Genomic DNA, 27,825 nt, shown 5'->3' with positions numbered 1-27,825 from the left:
TAAAGCATTTTTCCTGGAAGTACACAAGATTTTTAGTGTTTTTCAGCTTTGTATACAAAGTACACTTTCAATTTATATTATATGAATACATTTGCATTGAAGTCTTAAAAAAATACAACCACAGACTGTGTACATACTATGTTTAGTTTACACATAAGGATGGAGTACAGAAAAATGTTAAATAGTAGAAGTTTTGACTTGCCACTAGATCATTGTGAAAACCATGGTTTTTACCTGAGTGAGTGAGAAGCCAATGGAGGGATTTGAGGAGTGACATGGTCTTTTTAAATCAGACTTCTCTAGCAGCTATCATTTAAAAAAAAATTTCAATAGCTTTAGAAGTAAAGCTACATGGATTAATTGTATGGTGGTGAAGTCTGAAATTTCCGTGCACCCATAACCTGAGCAGTGTACATTGTACCCAACATGTAGCAGCCATCTTGAGAATAGCCTGGGAGGAGAGGCAGAGGAGGAAGAGGGAAGCTGGCAGACTGGGTTACATGTGAGAAATGATGGTGGCGTGGAGCAGGGTGGTGTCAGCAGCAGTCATAGTGAAGAGTGGGCAGATTAATAAAGCAGAGACAATACTTCATTCCACTTTATGAAGGGTGAAATTGAAGCTTAATGATATTAAACAAATTGCCCATATCACATGGCCAGAAAATGACAGAGTGAGGTCTATCACTGAAGCCTGCCCTCTACAACAGTGCCCTCCAGCAGCTTCTCAACACACATTCCTAACATGGGGACCATGTTGTCTATTCAGGAAAATGTAACTTCATTAGCATTTTTAGCACTGTTACTTAATCAAGCAAATTATATCTAGCAAGAAAAAAGAATGGGTTAATGCAGTGTTTTCCAAAGTGTAGTCTATACAACACTATTTTCTGAAGAGGGTTTGGTGAATAAAGGGGTTTTAAAGTCCCGTAGGACTGTTACCTTTAGCCCACTTTAAAAAGCCATGGGATCCCTTTTTTGAGTGATACCTATTAAACCATGGAAATGTTTTGAGGAACATACTTTGGAAACTGTTTTATTAATGGAAGAGAGAATTATTATTATTATTTTTTCAGACAGAGTTTCACTCTTGTCGCCCAGGCTGGAGTGCAATGGTGCGATCTCAGCTCACTGCAACCTCTGCCTCCCAGGTTCAAGCGATTCTCCTGCCTCAGCCTCCCATGTAGCTGGGATTACAGGCATGCACCACCACACCTGGCTAATTTTTTTTTTTTTTTTTTTTGTATTTCATTGAGACAGGAGTTTCACCATGTTGGTCAGGCTTGTCTCGAACTCCTGACCTCAGGTGATCCACCCACCTCAGCTTCCCAAAGTGCTGGGATTACAGGCGTGCGCCACCACGCCCGGCCACAGAAGAGAGAATTCTAAGGAGTAATAATTTGATGAGAGACTCTGCAGCCCTGCACAGTGGGGAGGACACAGCGACCAACAGGTTTAAGAGTCAGCACCGCTTGGTAAGGAGTCAGTCCGTCAGAATTCCTGGGAAGAAGTTAAAAGCACCAGCCTAAGGATGGCTAAAGTCTTCTAGTTTCCTTTGCCAATTACTTGCTTACCCAGAAGGCTCTTATTATAAGTGGCCTTTCCTGTAGCTTTGCATACAAGGAGAGAATGCACATTAACAATTCAAACATCTTATTTCTTGGGAATCACATTTTTGTGGTAATCAAATCTATGTAACAGTGCTGTGTGAAATTGGCTAGTACAAGTGGATTTCCTGGAGTCCCTTTACTGCTGGGAACATGGATATAAAGCTTTTTATCTTCCTAGGCAAAAATCTCTTTTTGCTCTAGATATTAAATATGGATTTTGTGTGTGTGTGTTTTTTAAAGAGGCAGAAACTTTTCTCGCCCAAATAAAAGGTTAGGCAAACAGAACAAACAAGCAGAGCCAGGCTTCTCGCTTGCTCCCCTCTGCATAGCTTCTGAAGACTCCTCATAAAACCCACAGATTTTATCATGCACAGTTTGAAAAGTGTTGGTTTGGAGTGACTTGATAAAAATCGGTTATCTCTTCTGTATACTGATGAATACTACTGCCAACACAAAAACAAAAAGAATATTCCAAAGACAATCTTACTTTTTCCTCCATGTAGAAGCTTGACAGGACTGAAATACAAGGCATTCAATATTATTTATCTTAAAAAGCATAGACATTTGACTCAATTTAGCTGTGGCACATTACCTAAAATTTGAATTGTATTCGAACTCAGCATCACCAACCCTTATGAAATAGTGTCCTTTTTTCTGATAGATATCCTTTTTCAGAATTGCCTTTAAGCCTGGAGCTAATGTCTCAAGGAGATTCTGAAAAACCCAATAGACAAAAATAAGAAAAATCATCTTAAAACAAATTGGTTGAAAAAAAAAAGCAGCAATAAAACATTTAAAGGTTGAGTTAGAAAGAATGAATAAGACCTAGTATTTCATAGTACAACAGGGTGACTATAGTCAATCATAATTTAATTGTACATTTAAAAATAACTAAGAGTATAATTCGATTGTTTGTAACAAAAGATAATGCTCGAGGGGATGGATACCCCATTCTCCATGATGTGATTATTACACATTGTATGCCTGTTTCAAAAACATCTTATGTACCCCATAACTATATACACCTACTATGTACCCACAAAAATTAAAATTTAAATAAATTTAAGTTTTATTAAATATCTGGACTCCAGTGAAAGACAGCTGTAAGAGAACTGAGCATTGAAAACTCACTCTCTGTCTGTAAGTATATATGTGTGTATGTCTGTTATTATTTTTTCCCTGACAGTTATCTGTCACTGAAAACTTTTAGCCTTTATGCTCAGTGCATACAACATATGTATCAGCTGCAAGGGAAATTAGGCCATACTGCCCACTTACCTGCAGGAGGACACTCCCTCCTGTCTTCATAGCATTTTCAATTTTTTTGGTATAATTGCTGTCTTCAATGGAGAGCTTCTGCAGCCTGGATCCTTCCATCTGACGGATCCATTTGTGAGCTTGCCTATGTGGGTCAATCAGCAGTGGCCACTGCTGGCCATTCTTGATCAAGATGGCATTCTCTACTGAATACTGACCATGAGGCAGTCCCTGATTATGCCATCGGCTGATCTGCAATGAAATTATTAGTACTTTCACTATTTTGTAAATGTCTTCACATCTTTAGTATCCTACAGGGTACTAAAAGATCCTACAGAATCACTGCCTTTAGAAAAAGAAATACTGTTTAAAAATGCTAAGGAAATGAACAGTTTAAAGCAACTTAGATATGAAATTTTTGGGAAGGTAATTATTCACTAAATTACACTTTTGTGTTCAACAATAAGGGCATTATGATGCCCATCACAACAAAGATGCCATAGGGGACACAAAGGAAATAAGATACAGCACCTGCTTCCAAGGCTCGTAGACTCTAACGCATACAATATAGAATTATACAAATAGAATATACAAATATACAAAATATACAAATATAATAACAGCTATAGTCTATTTCGCACCTACCAACTGCCAACCACACATACATATATACCACATAGTGAAATTACTATAATAACCCTTATTTCTTGGATGGAGGAACTGAGGCTAAAAGACGTTAGATACTTGACTAAGGTTATACTATCAGAATAAGAAGCAGAGCTACCATTTGGTGAAACTTGATTTGTGGCCTGTTATATGGCCAATTTTGGCAATGTTCTATATGTGTTTGCATATAACGTGTCAGCTGCAGGTATAGGCTACAGTGCTCTATATATTCTCATTAAGTCCATTTGTTGCTCATGTTGTTCAAAGCTTCTCTATTCTTACTGATTTTTGTGTGCTTGTTCTGAGTTACAGAAAGGTGTTAAAATCTTTCACTATGATTGTAGATTTGTCTATTTTTTCCCTATAGTTCTTTTAATATTTGCTTTATATTATTTGAGATCATGTTATTAGGTACAAATTTAGAATTGTTAACAGTTGCTTGGAGAATTAAACCAATTCCTATTGTAAAATGAGCTTAAGTCTAGTAATCCTTTTATGCCTTAACATCTATTTTGTCTTTTTGCTTTTGTAATCTATGGTAAATTCTCTCCCATTTCTGACTCTCAACTTTTCTTTATGTTTTAGATGTGTCTTTTAGAAATAACGTATGTTTTATTTTATAAATAATATATGTTTTCTGTTTTGTGCTTTGGTTTATACTGTTGCATAGTCTTATAACTTTATATATATATATGAGGTTGCTTGAGGTCTGTCTACATATACACATACATATGTGTAGTCTTATACATATATGTATAAGCATATATGTATATATAAGTATGTATGTATACATATATGTATATATGCATATATGTGTGTATATACATATATGCATATATGCGTATACATATATGCATATGTGTGTATATACACATATGTACATATATGTATATGTGTATATATACATATATGTATATATAGGTATATGTGCATATATACATACATGCATATATGTATGTATATGTACATATATGTATATGTGTATGTACATATATGTACATATGTGTATGTACATATATGTACATATGTGTATGTACATATATGTACATATACATAGATGTACTTATGAATATATGCACATATGCACATGTATGTATATATGCGTATATACATATATGCACATATGTATATATGCGTATATACATATATGCACATATGTATATATGCGTATATACATATATGCACATATGTATATATGCGTATATACATATATGCACATATGTATATATGCGTATATACACATATACGTATGCGTATATACATATATGCACATATGCGTATATACATAGATGTACATATGTATATACGTATATATGTACATATGTATATATGTACATATGTATATGTGTACATGTACACACGTGTATATGTGCATACACACACATGTACACACGTGCATATGTGCATACACACACATGTACACACGTGCATATGTGCATACACACACATGTACACATGTGTATATGTGCATATACACACACATGTACACGTGTATATGCATATACACACACATGTACACACGTGTATATGTGCATATACACACGTGTACACATGTGTATATGTGCATATACACACAATGTACACGTGTATATGTGCATATACACACAATGTACACATGTGTATATGTGCATATATACACACATGTACGTGTGTGCATATATACACACATGCGCACATGTACACATGCACACATGCACACATGTACACATGTGCACATGCACATATGTACACATGTATATATGTATATATACATATATGTATATATGTACATATGTACGTTATATATACATATATGTACATATGTATATATGTGTATATATGTATGTATATATACATATAAGTATATATGCGTATATATAGTATATATGTATAGTCTTATAACTTGAGGATTGCTTGAGGTCTCTACATATATCGTATAGATATATGCTATACATATACATATACACACACACACACACACACACACATATATATGTAGAGAGAGAGACAGAGACTTGGCTTGTCTCCCATGCTGGAGTGCAATGGCATGATGACACCTCACTGCAGCCTTGACCTCCTGGGCTCAAGCGATCCTCCCACCTCAGCCTCCTAAGTAGTTAGGACTATAGGCACGTGTCACCATTGTGCATGTGCAATCATTGCAATGATTGTGATCTGTCATTGCAATTACTACTGCTGTTCTCAAACTGTGGCTGTATAAAAGTTAATAATGGATAATATTGAAAAATAAACTTTTCTGAGAGGAAAATTAATCTTACTCTTGGGTTTGCTAATAGTGTCATCTTTGCTAAGATAGATACATAGCCATTTAAAATCCTTCGTGTAACAAAGCAAGACAATTTTTTTTTTCTTTTAGAGACAGGGTCTTCTCTCAGTAGCCTAGGCTGGAATGTAGTGGCACCATCATAGCTCACTGCAGCCTTGATCTCTTGGGCTCATGTGATCCTCCCACCTCAGCCTTCCAAGTGGCTTAGGCTTAGGATGACAGGCATGTAGCATCATGCTCAGTAATTTTTTAATTTTTTTTTAGACACGGTCTTGCTACATTGTCCAGGTTGGCTAATTTTTTATTTTTTGTAGAGACAGAGCCTCACTATGTTGCCCAGGCTGGTCTTGAATTCCTAGGCTCAAGGGTTCCTCCTACCTGGGCATCCCAAAGTTCTGGCATTACAGGCATGAGCCACTGCCCCTGGCTACAATCTTAGACTTGTTACTGGAACATTTAGTCCATTTACACCTAATGTAATAACTGTTATATTTGAGTTTAAATTGGTTAGTAGCATTATGAAAATGTGAAGACAGTATTTGTTTCTAAGATTTTGTAGGTTGCATGGTCAATTTAAGTGAAATTATCAGTGGGGATCCAATCTAAAATTATTCTCGGAGGATTAACAAAAGCTAGGTGCATTTCTCTTTTATCCTTTAAACATCAGCATAGGATTTACAAAAACAGACAATAAGTATCTAAGTTAATAAATGTAGTTCTATATTTTTGGCTGTGTCTAAGAATACTCCCTGTGATTCAATAAGTTCATCAATTGTATTAAATGAAAGAGGTTTCAGGGAGAGAAATTGCCTATATTCATTGAGACAGGGTAGTAGGATTACAATGGGAAAAGGGATATTTTGTGACTTTTGCTCAGTATGAGAAACAGGAGAGATATAACTTATTGAGGCATTAGGGCTATAAATTAAAAAATCGAGGCCTGCAACAAACTATTAACAAAATATTTTCATTTATCAAAATAATTTTGGGACAACATCCAAGGCCGAAACTACACATACAGCTAAAATCCAAATAAACAATAATAGCCACTTAACTGGATAATAGAAATATGTTATTACCTCATATTTTTGTGCCATAACTTTAATTAAAGAGAATTTGGAAGACAAAGAAATGCCATTTTCAATGCAGAATGTCTCCCATTTATTCACAATCAACTGGCGAAATTCTGGTGTTAAAATTCCACTGTAGACAATGCACGCTGCTGAAAGAAGTATGTCACCCAAAATTCCTTCTAATTTGTTATCTATTTGATTGATTGTTTCTTGCCATCGAGTCTAAATGTTAAAATAGAAATGAGTTATTCTATATAAAATATATTATCATGAGATATTTTAAAATTAATGATTTCCAAGTTGGATCTATCATTGCAATTACTACTGCTGTTCTCAAGCTGTGGCTGTATCAAAGTTAATAATGGATAATATTGAAAAATAAACTGTTTTCTGAGGGGAAAATTAGTCTTATTCTTGGGTTTGCTAATAGTGTCATCTTTGCTAAGATAGATACACAGCCATTTAAAATCCTTTGTGTAATAAAGCAGGACAATTTTTTTTTCTTTTAGAGACAGGGTCTTCTCTTAGTAGCCTAGGCTGGAGTGCAGTGGCACAATCACAGCTCACTGCAGCCTTGATCTCTTGGGCTCATGTGATCCTCCTCCCACCTCAGCCTTCTGAGTGGCTTACAATGACAGGCATGTGCCACCATGCTCAGCTAATTTTTTTTTTTTTTTTTTTTGTAGAGACAGGATCTTGCTACATTGCCCGGTTGGTCTTAAACTCTTGACCTCAAGCAATCCTCCAGCCTTGGCCTCCCAAAGAGCTGGGATTACAGACATGAGCCACCATGCCCAGCCAAAGCAGGACAGTTTATAAAGTATCCATTTATTATAATATACTATTAATAGTATTCAACAACAACAATAATAACAGCAACAACAACCCATATTTACTGAATCTTTACTTATCTGCCAGACATTTTACTTTGAAAACTTCATTTGACACCGCCTTTGGAGTTTAGAGAAGTTAAACAACTTGGTCAAGATCACTAAGCTTCTAAGGGGTGTAGCTGGGATCTGAACCCATATTCTCTGGCTGTATATGGCCTCTTTGATCACGTATGTGCTTGATTGGTCGATAAATAAAGCATGTTAAGCAAGAGCCCTCTGTTTTGGTGCTCACCATCTGGGATATGCTGATGTTCCACTGCCTCTCAGTCTATACACTTGACTCTCAGGGACATCCATCTGCTTTTGAGAGCTATCATCTCCCTTTGATTGGTCTGTTTTCATAAAATCCTTCCTCTTGACCTTCTATGATATGTATTTAAAAAATTAAACTAAATTATAATTATCTTGAGAATTTTATAACATCCCTTGAGATAGCTGAGGTGTAACTAAACTGAGATTCTAGTTAGCTTACTAGAGATTCAACCATGGAGAAGCCAGATGAACCAGAGGAGAAATAAAAAGGTGAGCTAAAAGGGTTCAGAAGGCTGACAGAACAAAATAAAATGTTCTTTATTGGCTGCTCTGCCTATGGAGTAGCCATTCTTTATTCCTTTACTTTCTTAATAAACTTACTTTCACTTAAAAAAAAAGGGAGAATTTTCTTTTTCTTTACTAATGACATCTCTCCTTTGTGGTTCCACCCATGTTTTATATGTTCAGCTTGGGTTCTCCCAGTGCTAGAAAAGGAAAACTAATGACATTTTCATTGAAAGGTTTACTTTGGGCCTCATCAGAGAAAAGCGTGCTGATGTCTTCAGAACAGGAGATAACGTCAGATACTTGTAGTCTGTTACTTCTGTTTTGAGACGACTCAAACAGGATTTCTTTATGTGAATAGGATGTCTACTGATCCCAATAAGAAACTGGATAGTTAGATAGTTTTAGAAGGTATATGATACAGCCTGCAGTGAAAATAACATCTTGGGGGTTGTTGGGCCCAGTAGGAATTATGGACGAGATATAAGACCAAAGTAAGTCATGCCTTCTCATCTTCCAGGACAGTTAGTAAGACTGACGCACACTGAAAGCGCCTGCTGGCCATTGTTTTCCGATTTGCTAATAGTTGTTTTTCAGCAACGGTATCTTTGTAAGCTGCCTGTAAAAACAGCAAATGTTCTTCAACCTGAAAGATAATTAATTCATTATTGAGAAAAATATCTTACTCTCATTTTGCTTCAAGACTTTAGCTGTCATTTATATAAATATAGTGTTACCATTTCATTTTCACATCCTGGAAAATCTTTCTGGAGGGATTATATTACCAATGAAAATGGACATTGTAGAAATGAAATGATTCATTGATATTGAAATTTGTATATTTTTAAATGCCATCTTGCTTCTTTAATAGGCTTTTTTTTTACAATCCTAGCGTTTGTAGATTCATCAATTTCTGATTTATTTTTTGCAAATAAAATTTTATATCTTATTTAGATTCTTTTTCTAAGAAAATGGTTGAACTTCTTTTCACTTCAGATGTACTGAACAGACCAGAGGACCGAATGAATTTTTAAATTTAAGCTGTATGATGAATCAACTGTTAAACCTTCCTTACAGTGTTAGTGGAAAACATATTTTCATAAATAGCTGAAAAAATTATTTTTTATTTTTATTTTTGGGTACACAGTAGGTATATATATATATTTAGGGGGCACATGAGATGTTTTGATACAGGCATGCAATGTGTAATCATCACATCATGGAGAATGGGGTATCCATCCTCTCGAGCATTTATCCTTTGTGTTACAAACAATCAAATTATACTCTTTATTTTAAGTGTACAGTTAAATTATTATTGACTACAATCACCCTGTTGTGCTATCACGTACTAGGTCTTATTCATTCTTTCTATTTTTCGTATCCATTAACCATTCTTACCTTCCTCATACCTTCCCACTACCCTTCCCAGCCTCTGGTAACCATCTTTCTGCCCTCTATCTCCATGAGTTCAATTGTTTTGATTTTTCGATCCCACAAATAAGTGAGAACATGCCATGTTTGTCTTTCTGCACCTGGCTTATTTCACTTAGCATAATGACCTCCACTTCCATCAGTGTTGTTGCAAATGACAAGACCTCATTCTTTTTAATGGTTGAATAATACTCCACTGTGTATAAGTACAACATTTTCGTTATCCATTCATCTGTTGATGGACACTTAGGTTACTTCCAAATTCTGGCTATTGTGAACAGTGCTGCAACAAACATGGAAGTGCAGTTATCTATTTAATATACTGAGTTCCTTTCTTTTGGGTATATACCCAGCAGTAGAATTGCTGGATCATATGGTAGCTCTATTTTTAGTTTTTTGAGGAACCTCCAAACTGTTCTCCATAGTGGTTGTACTAATTTATGTTCCCACGAGCAGTGTATAAGGGTTCCCTTTTCTCCACATCCCTGTCAGCATTTTGTTATTGCCTGTCTTTTGGATAAAAGCCATTTTAATTAGGGTAAGATGATATCTCACTGTAGTTTTTATTTGCATTTGTCTGATGATCAATGATATTGAGCACCTTTTTATATGTCTTTTTGCCATTGGTATGTCTTCTTTTGATAAGTATCCATTCAAGCCTTTTACTCATTTTCAAATTGGATTATTAGATTTTTTTCTATAGAGATGTTTGAGCTCTGTATATATTCTGGTTATTCATCCCTTGTCAGATGGGTAGTTTGCAAATAATTTCTCCTATTCTGTGGGCCATCTCTTCACTTTGTTGAGTGTTTCCTTTACTGTGCAGAAGCTTTTTAACTTGATGTGATCCCATTAGCCCGTGTTTGCTTTGGTTACCTGTGGTTGTGGGGTGTCATTCAAGACATTTTTGCCCAGACCAATGTCCTGGAGATTTTCCCCAATGTTTTCTCAAGAAGTTTCATAGTTTGAGGTCTTAGATTTAAGTCTGTAATTCATTTTGATGTGATTTTTGTGTATGGTGAGAGATAGGGGTCTAGTTTCATTCTTCTGGATATAGATATCCAGCACCATTTATTGAAGAGATGGTCTTTTCCCCAAAATAATTTTCTTAAATTATCACTTATCTTGATTACACCCCTGCTCAAAAGCATTTGGTGAATTCTTACAGAAGTAATGGATTAAGGATATAGTCCAGAGTTTTGGCTATCAACTAATGCCTCCACAACCTGACCCCAACCTTCCTTCCCAACTTCATCTCCTTTATTACTCCTTTCCAATTATATTACTCTTTATCCAAATTGGTTTATTCCTTATCTCCCCAACATTCCTTAAGCTTCTTGTCTCTGGGATTTGACTCACATCCTTTGTACCTTGGCCCTTCCCTTAAAAGGGTATAAATCCTAGGCATTGTGTAATATACTGATCAACTTCCAGCTGTCATGAAGTCTCAGCCTTGTCAAATCTACACTGATGTTTGTTTATAACAGTTGTTTGAGAAGTAATTTTAAGTTTCCTGATATCATCTCTTGGATTGTGGTCTTACAGTCTTATTAACCTTTAAGTTGAGAGTTTAGCATGGAGACTTGAACATGGTATGTACAACACAATTATAAAGACAAAATTGTGCTTATTATGATTGGTAATTTCTCTTTTTTTAAGATGCTATCCTGGTGAAAATATATACCTAATTTATATGTGTATATATATGTTACTTTTGGCATGTTTAATGATTTAGAATTTATTCCTGGATCACCCATAACAATTATGGGTTGTTTGCACTTTCATGTGTTATGTTGTTTTTGTCTGCTTGCTCATTCACCCATTTTGATTCCTTTGAGAAAACTCCTGTTACTTACGACCTAGTGAGTTACTTACATATTAACGCATGGGGCCTATTGATTAACTTAAACATATGAAGTGTCTATTATATGATGAGCATTGCAGTCCCCAAAGGTAATGTTTTTGATGAATGTTCATGTGATTTGATAAGTTCTGGCATTGTTTTTTCCCCAAAGTTCCTTAGATTTTCCAGAAATATTTTTTATATTAGGGTCCAGGCAAATAAAAGACCTATTTTTAACTGGAAGGAAGTATGTAGCTGAGTGAGGAGAAAATTTCCACGAAGGGCTTAAAACTGATGGAGTTAACTAGTAAGCTAAATTTTAAAATATTAAGCGTAAAAAATATACATTTTAAGTATATTAATTGGATTTTAATGAGTTCAAATACTAGAAACTTCTCATGAAGCCTGTGGTTGAGAGATGGAAGGTAATGTGGCTCTGGCTGGAATGTACAGCTTGTCTTTTTCTCCCTACCATTTAAAAATATTGTAATTAAAAACAAATGACAGTGTTATAAATACACATTCTCCACTGGCCTGTAAAATTTCTGCTGAGAAATCTGCTGTTGGTCTGATGGAGATTCCCTTATATGTAACATAATGCTTTTGCTGTTTTTGGCATTTTCTCTTTGTCTTTGACTTTTGACAGTTTGACTATAATGTATCTCAGAGAGAAACTGTTTGGGTTAAATCTCTCTGGGGATTTATGAGCTTCCTGATCTGAATGTCTATCTCTCTCTCAAGACTTGGGAAGTTTTCAGAAACTATTTTATTAAATAGGTTTTGATGCCGTTTCTCATCTCTTCTCTTGGAACTCCCAAAATCTGAATATTTTTTCACTTGATAGTGTCCCATATATGAGGAAGGCTTTATTCATTCTTTTAAATTATTTCTTCTTTTTCTTTTTTATCTGACTGGGTCATTTAAAAAGACCTGTCTTGAAGTCTAGAAATTCTTTCTTCTCTCTCTCTCTCTTTTTGTTTCCCCTAGAGGTTTGTTCATTTTGATGATCTCTTCAAGTAACCAACTTTTGGTTTCATTGATTTTCGCTATTTTTTTTTCTATTCTCTATTTTGTTTATCTCTACTCTAATCTTTATTATTTCTTTTCTTCTGCTAGCTTTGGGTTTGGTTCGTTCTTTGTTGTTTAGTTCCTTCAGGTGTGAAGTTAGGTTACTGATTTTATATTTTTCTTTTTAAATGCAGGCATTTACAACTATAAATTTCTCTGAGCATTTCTTTTGCTGTATCCCATTTGTTTTGGTTGTTGCATTTGATTTGTCTCTAAGTATTTTCTGATTTCTCTTGTGATTTCTTCTGTGACCCACTGGCTGTTTAAGAATGAGTTAGTCGGCCAGGTGCGGTGGCTGACACCTGTAATCCCAGCACTTTGGTAGGCCGAGGCGGGTGGATCACAAGGTCAGGAAATCGAGACCATCCTGGCTAACACGGTGAAACCCCGTCTCTACTAAAAATAAAAAAAATAAATTAGCCGGGCGTGGTGGTGGGTGCCTGTAGTCCCAGCTACTCGGGAGGCTGAGGCAGGAGAATGGCGTGAACCCGGGAGGCGGAGCTTGCAGTGAGCCGAGATCGCGCCTCTGCACTTCAGCCTGGGCGAGAGTGCAAGACTCCGTCTCAAAAAAAAAAAAAAAGTTACTAATTTCAACCTTCATGTTATTATTGCCAGACAAGATGCTTTTATGGTATATGTCTTTTAAAATCTATTGAGAACTTATTTTGTGGCCAAACATATGGTCTACCCTGGAGAATATCTCAGGTGCAACTGAGAAGAATGTGTATTGTGTTGTTGCGGGGTGGAGTATTCTGAATATGTCTGTTAGGTCTAGTTGGTTTACTGAGTTGTTCAGGTTCTCTGTTTCCTTGTCTTCTTTCTGGTTGTTCTATGATTTCTTTTTTAAATCCATGATTTTTGGATTGTTTAAGCTTTCAAGTTTTTTTTTTAAAATGGACTTTCAGTGACTAAAAATGTCCTAGAAAACAGGGCATATCCTTCAGGTTTTTAAATTTGTTTACATAGAGTTTCTAGTAATTGTTGCAAAAAAAGGAACAAACACTTTCATTAAACTAAAAATTATTTCTTCTTGAATGCCCTGTTTTTCCAAATTGTATAATGTTTAAATGTATTATTCTTAAAGTTTTGAAGAATTTTTTTTTCTTTCTTGGGTTTCTTCCATTCTGAGACAGAAATAGGGCTGATATTCAGTGGTATATACTACACAGGCACAACAACTGTGAAAATGTTGACGTATTTCTGTAGTGATTGCTAAAGGGTCCTGCTCCATGTCCCAGGAAGCACCTCTACAGCCACACATTGCCTAACCTGGCCCCATACCTTCTCTTCAAACTCAGCTGTAGGCCTCCAAGACTCTGCTTCTACCCGCACGACAAATGTCCATTCTGATCAGTTTGGTGCCTATGCCACACTGGTTGCTAAATATTTTGGATATCACTTCTGGATATAAATATTTTAAAATGTAGCAGTTTAAAAGCCTGTTAAGTGCGTGGGCTTTAGAGTTAGACAGACCTAGGTTAGAACATGGGCACCATCACTTATTAGCTTAAGATCTTGAACAAATTTACTAAATCTTTAAAATTTAGTTTTCTCATTTATAAACATCTACTTTGAAATGTTGTTGTGAGGATTACATGAGGATTAAATGACCACTGTGCTTGGAACACAGTAAGTGCTAAATAAACATTAACTATTATCAGCATCCATCAAAACAAAACTCTATAGACTATAAGCTACAACAAAATATTAGCAAGAAATGATATATCTATATAAAGTAAATTCGGTTCAAATTTGTTTTTTTCTTTCAAAAATATCCAGTCCTTTTTAATATATCTCAGTTTGCCAGAAATGCCTATGGGGCCAAACAGGTAGCAGAAATGCTTGAAGTGAGTGGGGGCTGCCTACAGCCAAGTGGGAACGCTAGCCCAGAGTTGCCAGCTATCTGAGTTTTCAGGAAAAGACAGAAAATCAGATATTAAGTAAAATCCCGAAATTTTAAAATGTTGATTATATCAAAATGAGGTGAGGGGTGGGAAGACTGTAATAGGTCAAAAGATATCAATGGACTGAATTTGCCTGTTTGCGTCTCTGAAATGTATTACTTTGCTCACTCTCAAAATGTACGTGAGCTAAATAGGTAACAGGGATATGAATTCTAGTTCCAGTTCTCATAATGATAATGATACTGTATTTTAATTTAAAATCAAGACATTTAAGGAATAATCATGCCTTTACAAATCAACAGGGTAATGATATAAACAGGTTAAGTACAGTTGGATATTTTTTTTTTTTTTGAGATGGAGTTTTGCTCTTGTTGCCCAGGCTGGAGTGTAATGGTTCAATCTCGGCACACTGCAATCTCCTTCTCCCGGGTTCAAGAGATTCTCCTGCCTCAGCCTCCCAAGTAGCTGGTATTACAGACGCCTGCCACCACGCCCAGCTAATTTTTGTATTTTTAGTAGAGATGGGGTTTCACCATGTTGGCCAGGCTGGTTTCGAACTCCTGACCTCAGGTGATCCACCTGCCTCAGCCTCCCAAAGTGCTGGGATTACAGGCATGAGACACTGTGCCCAATAAAGTACAGTTTTTTTTAAAGAACACAGACTGGAAAAAAAAAAAAAGAGCACAGATTGATACTGTTTAAGGCTTTGGTAAACTGAAGTTGTAAAGATCTTCCGAGAGAAATTTGGTGAAATAGTAAATTAAAATATTATAAAGACAATAATAATGAACTCTATAGAGTGTTTTATTATGTGGTAGGCACTAAAAGTTTTATATATATTATTAATAATATTACCAATAATATTATTTACTTAATCCTCACAATTAATCTTTTCACTACCTATATTATTATTTCCATCTTATCTGAAACTGATAAGCTCTCCTGAGATAATTACATTGTCCTGGTGTTTTGTCTTATTTTGAGAACTGAACTGTATTTCTTACCAGCTGTAAACCTCTTTGTTTCTCAGCAAGTCTTTGTCGCGCAATTTTAAGGACGTTTTGAGCTTCAGCTACTTGGATTTGTTTAGGGCCCACAACCTTAAAGAGAATGTCAGAACATTTAAGTGTCAAAAACGTCGGGTTTACTGTTAAAAATGCCATTTATATTTGAAAGACATTTACAGAGTCAATTGTTACAATTAAACTTTCCTAGAACTATATGTATATGTGGGGTACAAAGTTGCCTATTATGGTGAAACAATAAAATGAAATACACAAATACTAGCATAGTTGTCAATAAATAACAAATTTAATGGGAGCACTTGACATCTGTGTGAGTTAGAATAACATTTGATTAAAGTGTTTCTCCTTAGGTATCCTTTCCACTCAAGTTCATTTGAGTATTGGTAAATAAAAATTATTTCTGGGACATTGATGTGCCACTTCCAAATCATGACAGATGTTTAGGAGGAAAAGCATACCTTCTGTACTTCATGGTAGTTATTCAAAGCTATAACCCACTGGCACAGGGAGCAACAAGCAACAGAAACCAGCGAAATCTTGTGTGGGTTGAAATCAGGTAAGGTTACAATTTTTTTTAGCTTCACGAAAACCTAGAGAGAACACAGTTAATGTATTACATGAGAAAGAAATATTATTCACCTGAAGTTTTCCCCAGTCTACACTAGATTGAAATTTTATTTCATATTAAAATATTCAGGCCGGGGGCGGCGGCTCATGCCTATAAACCCAGCACTTTGGGAGGTCGAGGTGGGTGGGTCACCAGAGGTCAGGAGTTCGAGACCAGCCTAGCCAACATGGTGAAATCCTGTCTCTACTAAAAATACAAAAATTAGCTGTGCATGGTGGCACACGCCTGTAATCCTAGCTACCAGGGAAGCTGAGGCACGAGAATCACTTGAACCCAGGAGTGAGAGGTTGCAGTGAGCCAAGATCATGCCGCTGCACTCCAGCGAGTGCACAGAGTGAGACTCTGTCTAAAAAAAAACAAAAATTAACTTATCTTTAATAGTAGAATCAAAGACACATGCCTGGGTACAAAAATGACGCTAGTGGCTGGGCAAGGTGGCTCCCGCCTGTAATCCCAGCACTTTGGGACGCCCAGGGGGGCAGATCACAAGGTCAGGAGTTCAAGACCAGCCTGACCAACATGGTGAAACCATGTCTCTACTAAAAATACAAAATTAGCTGGGCATGGTGGCAGGCACCTGTAGCCCCAGCTACTCGGGAGGCTGAGGCAGGAGAATCGCTTGAACCCAGGAGGTGGAGGTTGCAGTGAGCTGAGATCTCCAGCCTGGGTGACAGAGTGAGACTCCGTCTCAAAACAAAAAACAAAAAACAAAAAACAAAACAAAACAACAACAAAACCTAGTATCAGGAGAGAAAAAGCCTTTGTTAACATCCTGCTATTGCTACTGTTGTTGCAGTAGCTTTGCTATACTTTTTAAAAAGAAACTTTTAAAACAAAAACAAAACAGGTTAACTTTCTCCAGCTTTAAGAATTTGATATCTAAAAATTCTGAAGTCTCCTTGTGCACTTCAGGTGTGAGGTGACTAGGAATACCATCCTCTTCCTTCTGTCCCCCAGGCGGCATATTGGCAAGGCACAGTCCCTATTCAAAGGTCTGTCTGGTCAGTAATGGTGGTATGGCCTGGGGCATGCTGGGGCTCACTGAGGATGTTCTCTACCTTAGCTGTGTCACATGCCCACAGGTCCATCTCTATTTCTAAACGGTATCACACAGTTTGGAGTTAGATATACAGTATTTCTCATCTACTTTTGGGAGCCATAATCAGAATGAAATTTTTCTCAGACTGGGATTTCTTTTCCCTATCCAACTAGGCAACTCCTCTCTTGCCTGGAAGAATAGAGCTATTTTCCTAGAAAATAGTCTCTCCATCTAAGAATAGAACAATTTAGATGGCAGGTGGTCTGTTTGATCCCACAGACTGTAAATATGAGATGCATCAATTAGAGATCAACTTTTTACCTTATCAGGTATGCTGTCCTTGTCAAGGTTAATCAATTTTTTCAGGAAACCAGTTTCTGAAAGAAGTAACTTTGCCGTTGCCCAGTTAGGTTTCTTTTGCAGAAGAATACACACTGCATTCATGACAGTCAGTACAAGGAAGGGAGGCCGTGTGTATACTCTGTAATAGATGATGAAAATCTCATCAACTTCACAATTAAAAATGAAATGCACCCTGTAAATATCTCAGAAGACAATATACACAGATTTTTAACACACATTTGGATAAGGAAAACTATTTGTCAACATATAGCTATTTAATTACTTAGGTATCTTTTAAAAATTGGGTATCTTAAATATAAGGATATTATAGTTTTAGGAAGATGAAATGCATAAAACTTAAATAAGTACTACATCTGAGTTAAAGGCTAATTAGTTTTATTATAAAAAGTCTTGGGCTGGGCATGGTGGCTCATGCCTGTAATCCCTGCACTTTGGGAGGCTGAGGCGGGCGGATCACTTGGGGTCAGGAGTTCGAGACCAGCCTGGCCAACATGGCGAAACCCGGTCTCTACAAAAATAAAAAAATTAGCTGGGTATGGTGGCGGGTGCCTGTAGTCCCAGCTACTTGGAGACTGAAGCAGGAGAATTGCTTGAACCCAGGAGGCAGAGGCTGGACTGAGCCAAGATCACGCCACTGTTCTCCAGCCTGGGCGACAAAGTGAGACACTGTCTCAAAAAAAAAAAAAAAAAAAAAAAGAAAGAAAAAAAAAGAAAAGTCTTCACTGTAGAGTTATTTAAAAATAGAAACCCCTCTCTTGTTTCAGTCCAGGGTTGATTTACTGATGACTGCTTCACAGAGACACTGTACATGTGTATGCGTTGGGAGTCAGCCCTATTCTCGTGACTTAAGAAGTGGTATAACAGCCAACTCCCCTTAAACACATGCTCTCATTTCTTCTTCCTGATCTAAAATTCCCACCATAAAAATCACAGATAAAACAGAGTCAGGGGAGGAAGGGTGGATGGGAATTTGTCTTTCAAGTCATTAATAATGTATTTATTATTGGAACATTGGAGGCGGTCTCTTCACTATGTCTTAATCAGTTGACGTGCCACTGGACTGTTAGGTAAGAAGTTGATGCTTTGGAAAGTCAGGGTCAGAATAACATTTATAAGAAGCAAGTTTCAAAGAGAAATCACAAGGGGGTGATGGTTGCTGTGCACCAGCATTTGGAACTTGGAACAAGGCAGGGTAGGTCCACACATGGGTAATGAGCCTCACCAAGTGAAAATCGCACAGACTTCCCAAAGAAGGAAGGCAACCAAGCCAACTTTATATGCATGACATTATCCACAGGGCTTACCAAGAAGGTCCTCTGCCTTGAATTTCACAACTAGAATTTTTTTTCAACTTTTATTTTAGTTTCAGGAGTACATGTGCAGGTTGGTTATATAGGTAAACTTGTGTCATGGGAGTTTGTTGTACAGGTTATTTCATCACCCAGGTACTAAGCCCAGTAGGCAATAGTTATTTTTTCTGACTGTCTCCCTCCTCCCATCCTTCAGTCTCAGGTAGGCCCCAGTGTCTGTACAACTAGAAATTCTAACCTATGTGTTCATTTGATTTAATCTTTAGTCTCATTAACAGTCTAATTTTAAAATGAAGATCATCTTCACATTTGAATAGCTCAATCATTAGCACTTTATTCTGAAATAATTTTTTCAGGTTGCTTTTCTGAGATTATCAGCTTGGCCTTTTTGAAATAATGGGAAAGATAACAGAGGAACTAGAAAAAGAGAAAAGGTCCACAAAGGAGAAGTGAGAGCTCCAGTAAGGAACCTTTCCTCAATTTTACCCAGGTTTAACTCTATTTAAAACAAATACGATGTGAATATAATACTAGGATAAAATATATTATCTAGGAAATTTAATTTAAATTAAAGGGGAAACAGGATTAAACTGACTGTAGTTCAATCTCTGTGCCACTTTCCAGGAATAAATATTTGATTCAAAGTGACACGTGTCTACTGGAAATTTGCTTTAAAATTCTTTATTACTTCACAGAATTAGTCTGTCTTGGATCTTTCCTCATTTTCTCCAATCTGCATTTTCTACTATCTGCTTTCTGCTTCTAGTGGTTCATGTTGCAAAATGGCAAAGGATGAAAGTATCATGGGGCAATTGTTGGCATTTTGATGATAGAAATAGCAGCTTGGGAAGAGAATGGACTAAGCTGTGCATCTGCTAGATGTCTCTGCTGCATGTCCAAGAATAGCAATGGAGATCAGGTTATAAGGCATCCTCATTTGTGTGGCATTTTGGAGTGAGCAAAGTAAAATACACATTAGCAATATAACAAAGGAGGATCTTTAAAAACAAACAAACAACAAACAAGACATACTCAAGGAGTTCAAAGACAAGGCTGGTTTTCTTAGCTTTTGTAGTACTACTAGGGCAGGGAAAAGGGCCTACTTGATCAGAGGAAATCTCTTATCATGAAAGTAACCTTTATTGAGCATTTGCCTTATGCCAGCCTCTGTTACAAGCATTTTACCTGTATTAACTCATTCAGTCCTTTCAACATCTGCAATCACTGTTGCACAAAAGGGAAGCTCAGGCACAGAGAGCTTATACAGCTAGAAAGTGGCAGTGCCAGGATCCCCAGCCAGGAAGCTTGGTATCAGAGCCCATGTGCTTAACCACTATGACACACCACCCCTCAGAAATTAGGCTAAAGGGAATTTGAACTGATCACTCTCTAGGGAATATCTGCTAGAAAAAAAAGCTAAGAGGATAGAACCTTCTGGAACAAAGTCATGAGGTACATGAGGGGCTGTGTTGGGGAAGAACTGGCCCCTGTTACTTCTCTAATGTCATCTCCTGACATTCCCTCTTGCTCACTGAACTTTAGTCATCTTGGTCTTTTGCAGTTCCTGAAACCCAAGAAGCACATTTCTGTCTTCAGACTTTTGTGCTTTCCATTTCCTCTGCTTGGAACACTCTTCCACTGGATACCTGCCTAGCTTACTTCCAAATTTCATTCAGTTCTCTGCTCCAATGTCACCTCATCAGAAACAGTTTCCACAACCGTTAACTGCTACAACCTCAGTGCCCAGAACAGGGCCTGGCACTTAATGTGTGCTCAAGATATTTGCTGAATTGAGTGCATAAGAATGAGGGCATACGAATGAAAGAAAAAGAAGTCAAGAATTCTCCCTCCTTCTCTTGCTTGTTTCTCTTTTGCATTTTTTCAGTTTCACGGGCATTAACTTCAGCATTGTAATATGATCTCTTCATCATAAAAATATATTGATCAAAAAAATTCTTCTTATCACAAAAGCTAATAATATGTTATAAATATCACGGTAGGTTTGCTCCAAATTTCCACATCTTTCATTAAAATACTATTTTCTACAAATAGCAGAAAACTCAACACATTCCAAGACGTTATAGGTAGGTTCCCATTGTTTGTTGAGTTGGGGAGCTCAAGCTAAAAATTATCTCACCCAAAGATTCAAATTAGCACTAATAGGCTCAGATCTTTGTAGCCTAAAATGTTTCATTTCTTCCTGTATTTTCTTATGTATTCTCTTCAATCATTAACCCCTAGCCCTAACCTGGATCAAGTTTGGGACAGGGCACAGCAAGGGGAAGCACTTCCCGCACTTCCTGTAGTGACACCTTGTGGTAATGTCCAACTTTGCAGTCTCAGATATGTGTTAGTACAGTCCCAAAAGCTGTAGCTAAACTGGTACAAGCAGCCGTTTACAATGTGTAAACATTGTCCTTTTATTTTTGGAACTGCAGGCCAGGTAATATTGTATTTTGTCAATTTTAAGATGCACATTTTTACATCAAAGAGACTGAGATTCAGTTTATAACAAACAGCACATCACAGTGTAACTGGCAGCATTTTTTCTTCAGGATACAAAAAATACTGGTATGCCTTACAATTGAAGGCATCATAAAATTGATAAGATACAGTATATACCATACAGAATGAACACTTAAAGTAACCAAGATGGGTAAAAAATCTTAAACCAAGATTAAGAAATGGAATATAGGCTTAGTATATAGGCTAAAAATGGAATATAGGCTTAGTAAACATGAATTTATGTTTTTTTCTGAGCTTTTCCAACTCAAACGAAACTTAGGAGAGTTACCTTAATTCAGCGACATCAGCTTTATCCAGGGCATTCAGAGCCACAATTGCCTTGTCAAAGGCTGGCAGCACACTTTTTAGTTCATTGGCAGTTTTCTGCAATAAAAATATAGGTCCCCAAACACATATGAATCAATATAGTTGCATATTTAAAATTTTTGTATGCTGAACTTGGAAAATATAATTTGATATTTTTACAATGCCCATAAGTTATGCATCTTTTATGACTTAGATATGTGCACACATGCTTGTACTGTTGGAAAGGTGTATCATAGTCCTAAAATGTGTATGATTCAATCCTTGATGAGAAGGTATACATGGGAAGCAAAAACACTGAGTGATTTCTGCCTTACCTCTTAGACTCAGTGTAGAATTAACAATGCCCTTTTGAGGAATGGTCCAGTTAAGGGTAGAATTACTGTGAAGCTACGAAGCTTAAACTTCAGCCTCTCACTTGCACACACCCCTTCCAAGGCTGTGCAAGCAGCCCTGCCATTATGTTTGCAGGGTCATATGTTTTCATTTTGCAAAAGTAAGACATTTGAACTGCAATCAATTAGGAATGATTTCTCTTTGCATTTTGCCCCATTGTTTGTCAGGTTTCCTATCACATCAGGTGTTGCAGTGGCTGTGGATATTTTGAGATCTGGCTAAAAAGTTGACTTGGGAATTATATTTATATTGCTCACAGTTACTTCCCTATATAGTAAAACTACTGTAAACTGTCTGAAATAGAAATGACTTCCAGAAATACTTCTGTTTTCTGCTGGTCTAACTTTCCCGGTGGGGTGACATTAAGCCCAGAGGTCATATTGTAATAGAAACTTGTCCTATAGGATCTGGCACCAGAAGTATGTGGGTTAGTATAGGAGAGACGAGGTTTATAATGTATGCATCTAGAAGCTACTCTGTATAAATATTTCCACTTATTAGATGTATAAAATTGTAAATGGAGGGTTAGATTTTCATTGACACCTTTGCAAAATGAAACTTCATTCTGAGTATACTTGATAAGCAGTATATACTATTCTAAACCTGCTATACTTTTTTTTTCTTTTTTACTGGGAGTTGTATAAAATCAAATTCATCAGAATTCCTGGGTTTTAAAGAAATACTTACTGCATTTGGCAAGATGTTTTGGAGTGTTTCAATGAAGTAAGTGAGAAATTACAGATTTCTTATGTAGATATGTGAGAGGTGCCTTATTTTAGAATTTAAAAATTTTATTTACATATATATAATTAAGATAAAAACGTGAAATATGAAATAAAGGTGAGTGCTAAAATCAGTAGAGGTTATTCTGATATTGAGGAGCAAATCATAATGAAAAATTTTAGGTCATACCAAAAGCAAAACTTTATTAAAATGAAAAAATAAATTTAGAACATAAGTAATGAAGTGGCTCTTGTTTTGTCTAATTATCCAAGTAATAAAGAAGAATGAATCATATGATCACATTGGAAGAATTTAAATTTCTTTCTGCATTTTCAAGAAATATTGACATTAATGAAAATAACATAAATATCAGAAAACACTGTTATAATGAGGACATTGATGGAAAACTGGTTAATGAATGTCATTGATTCAAACAGTATTTGAAATTAATCACTGCATAAGAACCTCGAAAAGCCATTGCTGCTTATACCAAATGTAATAGCAGTCCTATAAAATATTCATGTCATTGTCAATAATAACTTAGAAAGTTGAAAGAAACTTCTAAACTATCAAAAATGAAAAACACATTTGATCAATTCTGCCAAAGATTTTTTAGGAAATGATATTATAAAATCACTATAATATGAAGAAATGATCACAGAGTATGCGGTGAGAAAACGTAGAAAAAAGTATTATAGGAGTGTGGCATGATTGGGCCAAGATGGCCAAATAGGAACAGCTCTGGTCTGCAGCTCCCAGCGAGATCAACGCAGAAGGTGGGTGATTTCTGCATTTCCAACTGAGGTACCTGGTTCATCTCATTGGGACTGGTTAGACAGTGGGTGCAGCCCATGGAGGGAGAACTGAAGCAGGGTGGGGCATCACCTCACCCAGGAAGCACAAGGGGTCAGGGAACTCCCTCCAGTAGCCAAGGAAAGCCATGAGGGACTGTGCCATGAAGGACGGTGCATTCTGGCCCAGATACTACACTTTTCCCACAGTCTTCACAACCCGCAGACCAGGAGATTCCCTCAGGTGCCTACACCACAAGAGCCCTGGATTTCAAGCACAAAACTGGGCGGCTGTTTGGGCAGACACCAAACTAGCTGCAGGAGTTTTTTTTCATACCCCAGTGGTGCCTGGAATGCCAGCAAGACAGAACCATTCACTCCCCTGGAAAGGGAGCTGAAGCCAGAAATCCAAGTGGTCTTGCTCAGTGGATCCCACCCCAGTGGAGCCCAGCAAGCTAAGATCCACTCGCTTGAAATTCTCACTGCCAGCACAGCAGTCTGAAGAAGACCTGGGACTCCTGAGCTTGGTCGGGGGAGGGGCATCCACCATTACTGAGGCTTGAGTAGGCAGTTTTCCCCTCACAGTGTAAACAAAGCTGCCCCAAATTTTGGACTGGGCAGAGCCGACCTCAGTGCTGCAAAGCCGCTGTAGCCAGACTCTCTCTCTAGATACCTCCTGTCTGGGCAGGGCATCTCTGAAAGAAAGGCAGCAGCCCCGTCAGGGGCTTATAGATAAAACTCCCATCTGCCTGGGACAGAGCACCTGAAGGAAGGGGCAGCTGTGGCCGCAGCTCTGCAAAGGGACAGACTGCCTCAAGTGGGTCCCTGATCTGCATGCCTCCTGATGGGGAGACACTTCCCAGCAGGGATTGACAGACAGGAGAGCTCCAGCTGGCATCTGGCAGGTGCCCCTCTTGGATGAAGCTTCCAGCGGAAGGAGCAGGCAGCAATCTTTGCTGTTCTGCAGCCTTCGCTGGTGATACCTAGACAAACAGGATCTGGAGTGGATCCCCAGCAAATTCCAGCAGACCTGCAGAAGAGGGGCCTGACTGTAAAACTAACAAACAGAAAGCAATAGCATCAACATCAACAAAAAGGACAACCACACAAAAACTCCATCCGAAGGTCACCAAGAACAAAGACCACAGGTAGATAAATCCACAAAGATAAGGAAAAACCAGCACAAAAATGCTGAAAATTCCAAAACACAGAATGCCTCTTCTCCTCCAAAGGATCACAACTCCTTGCTAGCAAGGGAACAAAACTGGACGGAGAATGAGTTTGATGAGTTGACAAAAGTAGGCTTCAGAAGGTGGGTAATAAGAAACTCCTCTGAGCTAAAGGAGCATGTTCTAACCCAATGCGAGGAAGCTAAGAACCTTGATAAAAGATTAGAGGAATTGCTAACTAGAATAACTAGTTTAGAGAAGAACATAAATGACCTGATGGAGCTGAAAAACCCAGCACGAAAACTTCGTGAAGCATACCCAAATATCAGTAGCCGAATCAATCAAGCAGAAGAAAGGCTATCAGAGATTGAAAATCAGCTTAATGAAATAAAGCATGAAGGCAAGACTAGAGAAAAAAGAATGAAAAAGAATGAACAAAGCCTCCAAGAAATATGTGACCATGTGAAAAGACTAAACCAACATTTGATTGGTGTACTTGAAAGTGATGGAGAGAATGGAACCAAGTTGGAAAACACACTTCAGGATATTATCCAGGAGAACTTACCCAACCTAGCAAGACAGGCCAACATTCAAATCCAGGAAATACAGAGAACACTACAAAGATACTCCTCGAGAAGAGCAACCCTAAGATGCATAATCCTCAGATTCACCAAGGTTGAAATGAAGGAAAAAATGTTAAAGGCAGCCAGAGAGAAAGGTCGGGTTACCCACAGAGGGAAGCCCATCAGACTAACAGTGGATCTCTCTGCAGAATCCCTACAAACCAGAAGAGAGTAAGGGCCAATATTCAGCCTTCTTAAAGAAAATAATTTTCAACCAAGAATTTCATATCCAGCCAAGCTAAGCTTTGTAAGTGAAGGAGAAATAAAATCCTTTACAGACAAGCAAATGCTGAGGGATTTTGTCACCATCAGGCCTACCTTATAAGAGCTCCTGAGGGAAGCACTAAATATGGAAGGGAAAAACTGGTACCAGCCACTGCAAAAACATACCAAAATGTAAAGACCATTAACACTATGAAGAAACTGCATCAACTAACGGGCAAAAAAACTGCAGCTAGCATCATAATGACAGGATCAAATTCACGCATAACTATATTAACTTTAAATGTAAATGGGCTAAATGCCCCAATTAAAAGACACAGACTGGTAAATTGGATAAAGTCAAGACCCACTGGTGTGCTGTATTCAGGAGACCCATCTCACGTGCAAAGACACACATAGGTCAAAATAAAGGGCTGGAGGAAGATTTACCAAGCAAATGGAAAGCAAAAAAAGCAGCGATTGCAATCCTCGTCTCTGATAAAACAGACTTTAAACCAACAAAGATCGAAAGAGACAAAAAAGGGCATTACATAATGGTAAAGGAATCAATGCAGCAAGAAGAGCTAACTATCCTAAATACATATGCACCCAATACAGGAGCACCCAGATTCATAAAGCAAATTCTTAGAGACCTACAGAGAGACTTAGACTCCCACACAATAATAGTGGAAGATTTTAACATACCACTGTCAATATTAGACAGATCAATGAAACAGAAAATTAACAAGGATATTCAGGAATTGAACTCAGCTCAGGACCAAGCAGACCTAACAGACATCTACAGAACTCTCCACCCCAAATCAACAGAATATACATTCTTCTCAGCACCATATAGCACTTATTCTAAAATCGATCACATAATTGGAAGTAAAACACTCAGCAAATTCAAAAGAATGGAAATCATAACAAACAGTCTCTCAGACCACAGTGCCATCAAACTAGAACTCAAGATTAAGAAACTCACTCAAAACTGCACAACTACATGGAAACTGAACAACCTGCTCCTGAATGACTACTGGGTAAATAATGAAATGAAGGCAGAAATAAATAAGTTATTTGAAACCAATGAGAACAAAGACACAACGTACCGGAATCTCTGGGACACAGCTATAGCAGTGTTTAGAGGGAAAGTTATGGCACTAAATGCCCACAGGAGAAAGCGAGAAAGATCTAAAATCAACACCCTAACATCACAATTAAAAGAACTAGAGAAGCAAGAGCAAACAAATTCAAAAGCTAGCAGAAGACAAGGAATAACTAAGATCAGAGCAGAACTGAAGGAGATAGAGACGCAAGAAAACCTTCAAAACATCTATGAATCCATGAGCTGAGTTTTTGAAAAGATTAACAAAATAGACCACTAGCCAGACTAATAAAGAAGAAAAGACAGAAGAATCAAAGAGACACAATAAAAAATGATAAAGGGGATCTCACCACTGATCTCACAGAAATACAAACTACCATCAGAGAATACTATAAACACCTCTACACAAATAAACTAGAAAATCTAGAAGAAATGGATACATTCCTGGACACATACACCCTCCCAAGACTAAACCAGGAAGAAGTCAAATACCTGAATAGAACAATAACAAGTTCTGAAATTGAGGGAGTAATTAATAGCCTACCAACTGAAAAAACAGCCCAGGACCAGATGGATTAACAGCCGAATTCTACCAGAGGTACAAACAGGAGCTGGTACCATTTCTTCTGAAACTATTTTGAACAATGAAAAAGAGGGATTCCTCCCCAACTCATTTTATGAGGCCAGCATCATCCTGATACCAAAACCTGGCAGAGACACCATGAAAAAAGAAAATCTCAGGCCAATATCCCTGATGAACATTGATGTGAAAATCGTCAAAAAATACTGGCAAACCAAATCCAGCAGCACATTAAAAAGCTTATCCACCACGATCAAGTTGGCTTCATCCCTGGACGCAAGGTTGGTTGAACATATGCAAATCAATAAACATAATCCATCACATTAACAGAACTAATAACAAAAACCATATGATTATCTCAATAGATGCAGAAAAGGCCTTTGATAAAATTCAACACCCTTTCATGTTAAAAACACTCAATAAACTAGGTATTGATGGAATATATCTTAAAATAATAAGAGCTATTTATGACAAACCTACAGCCAATATCATACCGAA

The 27,825-nt window shown here is 37.3% G+C and overlaps 1 protein-coding gene across 26 annotated transcripts in view, besides 1 other annotated feature; it reads right to left on the bottom strand.

Annotated features, from left to right (window-relative positions):
- DNAH14 (dynein axonemal heavy chain 14) overlaps window positions 1-27,825 on the bottom strand; it is a 469,633-nt gene that overhangs the window by 58,905 nt on the left and 382,903 nt on the right. For all 26 annotated transcript variants that reach the window (XM_011544062.3, XM_011544067.3, XM_017000296.2 and 23 more), the window contains 8 exons: window positions 21,705-21,799; window positions 17,559-17,718; window positions 16,029-16,160; window positions 15,550-15,645; window positions 8,805-8,945; window positions 6,876-7,091; window positions 2,886-3,116; window positions 2,200-2,321 (listed from right to left, as the gene is read on the bottom strand). In XM_011544062.3, coding sequence (XP_011542364.1) covers window positions 2,200-2,321; window positions 2,886-3,116; window positions 6,876-7,091; window positions 8,805-8,945; window positions 15,550-15,645; window positions 16,029-16,160; window positions 17,559-17,718; window positions 21,705-21,799 — 1,193 coding nt within the window. The remainder of the gene's footprint in view (window positions 1-2,199; window positions 2,322-2,885; window positions 3,117-6,875; window positions 7,092-8,804; window positions 8,946-15,549; window positions 15,646-16,028; window positions 16,161-17,558; window positions 17,719-21,704; window positions 21,800-27,825) is intronic.
- Window positions 21,268-21,317: an enhancer, noted in NCBI's record as "active region_2619". NCBI's record gives its function as "activates an Ori minimal core promoter by ATAC-STARR-seq in GM12878 lymphoblastoid cells {active_cell/tissue: GM12878}" and the evidence as "EXISTENCE:reporter gene assay evidence [ECO:0000049][PMID:35858748]".

This window comes from Homo sapiens, chromosome 1 (genome assembly GCF_000001405.40).
Source record: "Homo sapiens chromosome 1, GRCh38.p14 Primary Assembly".
Taxonomy (NCBI): Eukaryota; Metazoa; Chordata; class Mammalia; order Primates; family Hominidae; genus Homo; species Homo sapiens.
The sequence above is the reverse complement of the archived record's forward strand: the minus strand, read 5'-3'. Positions and strand labels throughout refer to the sequence as shown.